General features: G+C 47.9%; 2 annotated features.

Moving 5' to 3' along the window:
• Window positions 773-1,067: an enhancer, noted in NCBI's record as "tiled region #4911; HepG2 Activating non-DNase unmatched - State 6:EnhF, and K562 Activating DNase matched - State 8:EnhW". NCBI's record gives its function as "activates a minimal TATA promoter and a strong SV40 promoter by Sharpr-MPRA in HepG2 and K562 cells {active_cell/tissue: HepG2 | K562}" and the evidence as "EXISTENCE:reporter gene assay evidence [ECO:0000049][PMID:27701403]".
• Window positions 2,576-2,769: a silencer, noted in NCBI's record as "fragment chr17:30127927-30128120 (GRCh37/hg19 assembly coordinates)". NCBI's record gives its function as "represses an EF-1alpha promoter that drives an FKBP-Casp9 reporter gene in an ReSE screen in K562 erythroleukemia cells {active_cell/tissue: K562}" and the evidence as "EXISTENCE:reporter gene assay evidence [ECO:0000049][PMID:32094911]".

The raw sequence follows: 6,000 nt of genomic DNA, 5'->3' as shown, positions 1-6,000 counted from the left end.
AGATAGGATCTCACTCTGTCACCCAGGCTGGAGTGCAGTAGTGCGACGACGGCTCAGTGCAGCCTTGACCTCCCTGGTCCCAGGTGATCCTCCTGCCTCAGCCTCGTGAGTAGCTGGAACTACAGGCAGCTGCCACCACACTTCGCTAATTTTTTGTATTTTCTTTTTTTTTTGAGATAGAGTTTTGCTCTGTTGCCCAGGCTGGAGTGCAGTGGCGCGATCTTGGCTCATTGCAACCTCTGCCTTCCAGGTTCAAGCTTTTCTCCCCGAGTTGCTGGGACCACAGGCACGTGCCACCATGCCTGGATACTTTTTTTTTTTTTTTTTTGTATTTTTAGTAGAGACGGGGTTTCACCGTGTTAGCCAGGATGGTCTCGATCTCCTGACCTCGTGATCTGCCCGCCTCAGCCTCCCAAAGTGCTGGGATTACAGGCATGAGCCACCGCACCCCGCCACGCCTGGCTAATTTTTCGTATTTTTAGTAGAGACAGGGTTTCACCATGTTGGCCAGACTGGTCTTGAAGTCCTGACCTCAGGTGATCCACCCGCATTGGCCTCACAAAGTGCTGGGATTACAGGCATAAGCCACCGCGCCCAGCCTAATTTTTTGTAGAGACAGGGGTCACCATGTTGCCCAGGCTGATCTCGAATTCCTGGGCTCAAGCGGGATCCTCCTGCCTCAGCCTCCCAAAGTGCTGGGATTTCAGGAGTGAGCCACCATGCCTGACCTTTCTTAACCATTTTGAAGTGGTATTACATACAGTCACACTGTTTTGCTACCATCACCACCATGAACTTTTCTTAACCTTGAAATGCCCTTTTGAATTGTCTTTCTGTTTCCAGGGAAGTTCCTCTTATGTCTTATGAGGAAGTCAGAACTCAAGTTCCCAGCCTGCCCTGGGTCTGGGACATAGACCTGGGCCAGGCTCCACCAATCAGATGCGTCCATACTGACACTGGTTCAAGTGGGAGCCCCAGGGAGAAACAGGCTGTGGCTGGAGCAGCCATGTTTGCTGGTGTGGATGGCAACAAGGGTGCCCAGCTTTTGGTGGTGACTGCCGGTGGTAGCAAGTTCATGTTCCTGGTGCTGACATGAAATCAGTGCTGGCTACAGTAGTGATTGCAGCAGGACCAGGTTTCTGGCACTTAGGACTTGCCTTCAGTGACAGTTTCCTTATCAAACCATGGGTGTTACTCTCTGAATGTTTCATCTCCAGTCTGCTCTTAAATACATTTCTTTTTTTGCTTAACCAGCTAGGCAGTAAAACCATGCCAGTCCTTTTCATCAGAAGGACTGCTGAGAACAGAGAAACCAGGTTTGTTTAGATCCTCCTGCTGTTGGATGCTGTTGGCAGAGCCACATTGCTCTTGAGCCCTCTTCTAATGAACTTGTCAAGCCCCAGCTCTTTCCTTGTCTCTCCTTGACTTCAGTCCAGATGGGGAGGGCTCTGGGATGCAATTAGCTCCCCCTTATTTTTGGGGTCCTTGGGAGAGAAGTCATTTTCAGAAACTGGTGCCAGGAGAAGGGAGCCCTGGTGCCTGGCCTGTGTGGATGTTGGCTCCTGGTTATTTTCTTCTTCATCCACAGAATGTTTGCGTGGACACAAGGCTTACCATGAGCCACTCGCTTTTCTTTTCTGTTAAAGCTTTCTGCTGGCTTTTCAATATTGTTTCTCTGTTGAGAGGCACATTGGAGGATGGGAGGCAGGTTTTTCTCTTTCTGTTGGGAGGTACCGAGAAAAAACATCATTCAAGATTCCCCAGAGTTCCTTTCTGATCCGTGAGGTCCCGAATACCCTTGTGCCTCAGCTTTCCCTCTGCAGGAGTGGGCTTGGTTTCCAGGTTCATGCATCACATGATTATTGAGCCCCTTTTTTCTGCTAGGATCATTCTGGAGACACAAATATGAGTAACAGGTTTGGCCTTCAGAACTCATAGCCTAGTGGAAGTGGGCAAACAGATCCAAGCCTCAGCTAGTAGCTACTGAAAAAGCTTATTTAATATTCATATTGCCCTTTAAGCCTCATCTTGTTTCTCCTCTCCTCTCTGAGTATTTCTGGGATTCTCTAGAGGATGCTTATGTGTTCAGCTGTTCCGTCCTGGTTGTCACTTGCCACCCCTGCCATCCTAAACAGAATATGTCAGTGGGCATGTCATAGAGCCCAGCTGACCTCTGCCCAGTTGGTCTCTCTCCCACTTCTGCAGATAAATGGAGGAGATGAGTTTCTTTCCCTTTTAGGTGAAAACTTGCAGCCCCAGTCTTGTATATTCTGGGACGACTTCTTCCCAGGATGATCGAGAGTGGGAATGTCTACTCCCCGTATGGGAACACACCCTCCTTGGTGTGTTTTTGCACTCAAAGCACAACATGATTATACCTCAAGACTCAGTGATCCAGCCTCAGTCTCAGCGGCCTCATCTTGAATAGCATCTTGGGGACGTTAATGGTGCGGTCTGGGCAGCACTGCACTGAAGTGTGGCTCAGGTTCTTTCTATAGGCTCTTCTCCAGCTCTTGGTAAAAACTAGGCCTGCCTCAGATTCTCATCTCCTGTGGGTGTTACCTACGTAAGACTATACATTTTCCTAAGTGGAAGAAATTGTTTTCTAGCACAGGACAGTCCAAAGCCATGCCTACTCCAAGAAGCATTTTCTACTTACACAGATAACCTTCCCTGGCACCTTGTGGACTCATTTGGTTCCCAGGAGCCCAGCTGTCTCCACTATCTCCATAGCTACAGGAACATTTGCTTTACATCTTCACAAGAAAGAGTCACACAGAGTGGATTTTTCCTAAAATAAAAGGCTATCTTCTCCCAGGGGTTAATTCAACACTTGTAAAAGAGAGGCCTGCTTGAAGCTTTGAAAATATAGGCTCTTTCTCACTCCTAGACCTATTGAGGTCTGAAGGATCTTGGGAGGAGCTTTTAGTTAGTGTGGTTTTTGTTTGTTTGTTTGTTTTTTTGAGACAGGATCTTGCTCTGTTGCCCAGGCTGGAGTGCAATGGCGCAATCATAGCTCACTGCAGCCTCGACCTCCCAGGCTCAAATGATCCTCCTACCTCAGACTTTCAAGTAGCTGGGACTATAGGAGTATACCACCACACCTGGCTAATTTTTTATTTTTTGCAGAGATGGGGGTCTCACTATGTTTCCCAGGCTGGTCTTGAACTCCTGGGCTCAAGCAATCCTCCTACTTTGGCCTCCCAAAGTGTTGGGATTACAGGCATGAGCCACTGTGCACAGCCTTAGTGTTTAATCTCAGAGTGTCCCATGCTTTTCTTCTGTTATGGACCAAATTGTGTCCTTCTCAAATCCATATGTTGAAGTCCCAACCCCCAGAACCTCAAAATGTCACTATATTTCGAGTTAGGGTCTTTAAAGAGGTAATTAAGTTGAAATGCTGCCATCAGGGTGGACCCTAAACAAGCGTGATTAGTGTCCTTATAAGAAGAGGAGATTAGGACACAGATAAACAGAGGAAAGACCACATGAAGACAGAGGAAGAAGATGGCCATCTGCAAGCCAAGAGGGGAGGCCCCAGAAGAAACCAACCCTGCTGGCACCTTGATCTCAGACTTCCAGACTCCAGAATTGTGAGAAAATAAATTTCTGTTGTTGAAACCACCTAATCTGATGTACTTTGTTATGGCAGCCCTAGTGCACCAATATGTCTTCCCCTTCAGCTGTCTTTGCAAAAGCCTTTCCCCTAGTATTAATAAATACCATGCAAGTATTAAAAAAAATTTTTTTTTATGGAGTCTTGCTCTGTTGCCCAGGCTGGAGTGCACTGATGTGATCTCAGCTCACTGCAACCTCCACCTCCCGGGTTCAAATGATTCTCCTGCTTCAGCCTCCTACGTAGCTGGGATTACAGGCACCCCCCACCCCCACCACACCCAGCTAAATTTTTTTGTAATTTTAGTAGAGACGGGATTTCACCATGTTGGCCAGGCTGGTCTCGAACTCCTGACCTCAAAGTGCTGGGATTACAGGCATAAGCCACCATGCCTGGCTTGTGCAGGTCCTAAGACCTAATATGCATGTGCCTGCAAATGGGCCTTGTGGACTGGACTGGTTTAGAGAATCTAGAAGGGAGCACACTACATTTGCACCCATTCTTTATCTGGGAGGATATCTCCATCAGGTGTGTGGCTTCAGGAGGGACATGAAGTGGTGATGAGGACAGAAGGGGACACTATTCTTGCCAGCCATAGAAATTGCGTCCACTTTGGCCATGGATGAGAAGGATATTCATCTCTCGCATCTGCAAGACAGATCCCAAATCAGACATTCTGAAGCTGTGCCATCCAGCACAGGAATATCAGCCATACGCAGCTACTGTGCACTTGACTTGTGGCTTGTCTGAATTGCAATACACTGTGAGTGCAAAATACATAAAGACTTAGGTTAAAAAAAGCAAAAATCTTATTAGTTTTTATAGTGATTACACACTGAAATAATATTTTGGATACACTGAGTTAAATAAATATATCTTTAAAATCCGTTTCACCTGATTCTTTTTACTTTTTTTACTGTGGCTACTAGAACATTTACACTTATGGAGTGGCTTGTACTATATTTCTTCTGGACAGTGCTGCTATAAAGAGGGCATAAGCCTGGCCAGCCAGTTGCCAGCCAGCTCTCCGGAGGGTCACAGGCAGTCACCACATGCTTAGGACTTAAAGTTTGAGACCTGGTCCTTGCCTTTGAGGGGAATCCAAGTCTCTAGTCCCTGTTGAAGGAGTCCCCTGGTGGACGCCCAGCTTGTATTTTTTTTTTTTTCTAAATCCCTTTTCTCTTTTTTTTTTTTTTTGAGATGGAGTCTCGCACTGTCACCCAGGCTGGAGTGCAGTGGTGCAATCTTGGCTCACTGCGACCTCCGCCTCCTGGGTTCAAGTAACTCTCCTGCCTCAGCCTCCCAAGTAGCTGGGATTGATTACAGGCTCCCGCCACCACACCCGGCTAATTTTTTGTATTTTTAGTAGAGACAGAGTTTCACCATGTTGGTCAGGCTGGTCTCGAACTCCCTGACCTCAAGCGATCCACCCGCCTCAGCCTCCCAAAGTCCTGGGATTAAAGGCATGAACCACCGCACATGGCCTGTATCTTATCTTTACTTGATGACGACCCCTGAACCCTGCTCTTGCCTGTTTACATTTTTGTTCTTTTCGTGGCTGTGATCATTAGCTACTCCCAGACCTCTGACCACTGCCCTATGGCCTGGTTATTGTTCCTGCCTCCCTCTCCCTTGGCTGGGGATTCCAAGAACAGACTTCTGGCTCCTTCTCCCAGGTTCTCCTGGGCCCAGGACTGTCCAATAGGTTCGTGCCCTGCCCCCCTAGTCTGTCTCCACTAGACTCCATCCAGGACCCCAGGGAGCTGGACTCAGGTCACCTGGGGCTCATAGAGCTCTTGTTCAGGATACGAGACATTGACCTCAGCCCGTGGGACTGGGAGAGAAGGCCAGGAAAAAGTGGCAGCCCCCTTACTTGAAGGAACCTGTGATCTATTTTGAACTAATCCCGTAAAGAAACAAATGCAGGATCCAGCGTCCCCAATGAGACTCTAGTTAGCCACCTCTTGACCTTGTGTATGTAGCTATGTCAAGCTGCTGTTCAGCACAGATAACTCAACTTTCATGTGATGAATTCCTGAGGCCCAGGGGAAATGTTGTAAATACTGGGAATGTGTGAATCAAGGAAATTGAATTAAGAAATATAAATCGGGCCAGTCGTGGTGGCTCATGCCTGTAATCGCAGCACTTTGGTAGGCCGATGGGGGTGGATCACTTGCGGTCAGGAGTCCGAGATCAGCCTGGCCAAAATGCTGAAACGTTGTCTCTACTAAAATTACAAAAGTTAGCCGTGGCCGGGCACGGTGGCTCATGCCTGTAATCCCAGCACTTTGGGAGGCTGAGGCGGGAAGATCACCTGAGGTCGGGAGTTCGAGACCAGCCTGACCAACATGGAGAAACCCTGTCTCTACTAAAAATACAAAAAT

Source organism: Homo sapiens, chromosome 17 (assembly GCF_000001405.40).
Source record: "Homo sapiens chromosome 17, GRCh38.p14 Primary Assembly".
NCBI classification, from domain to species: domain Eukaryota; kingdom Metazoa; phylum Chordata; class Mammalia; order Primates; family Hominidae; genus Homo; species Homo sapiens.
Note: the sequence above shows the minus strand (reverse complement) of the source record. Positions and strands in the feature narration are given on the sequence as shown.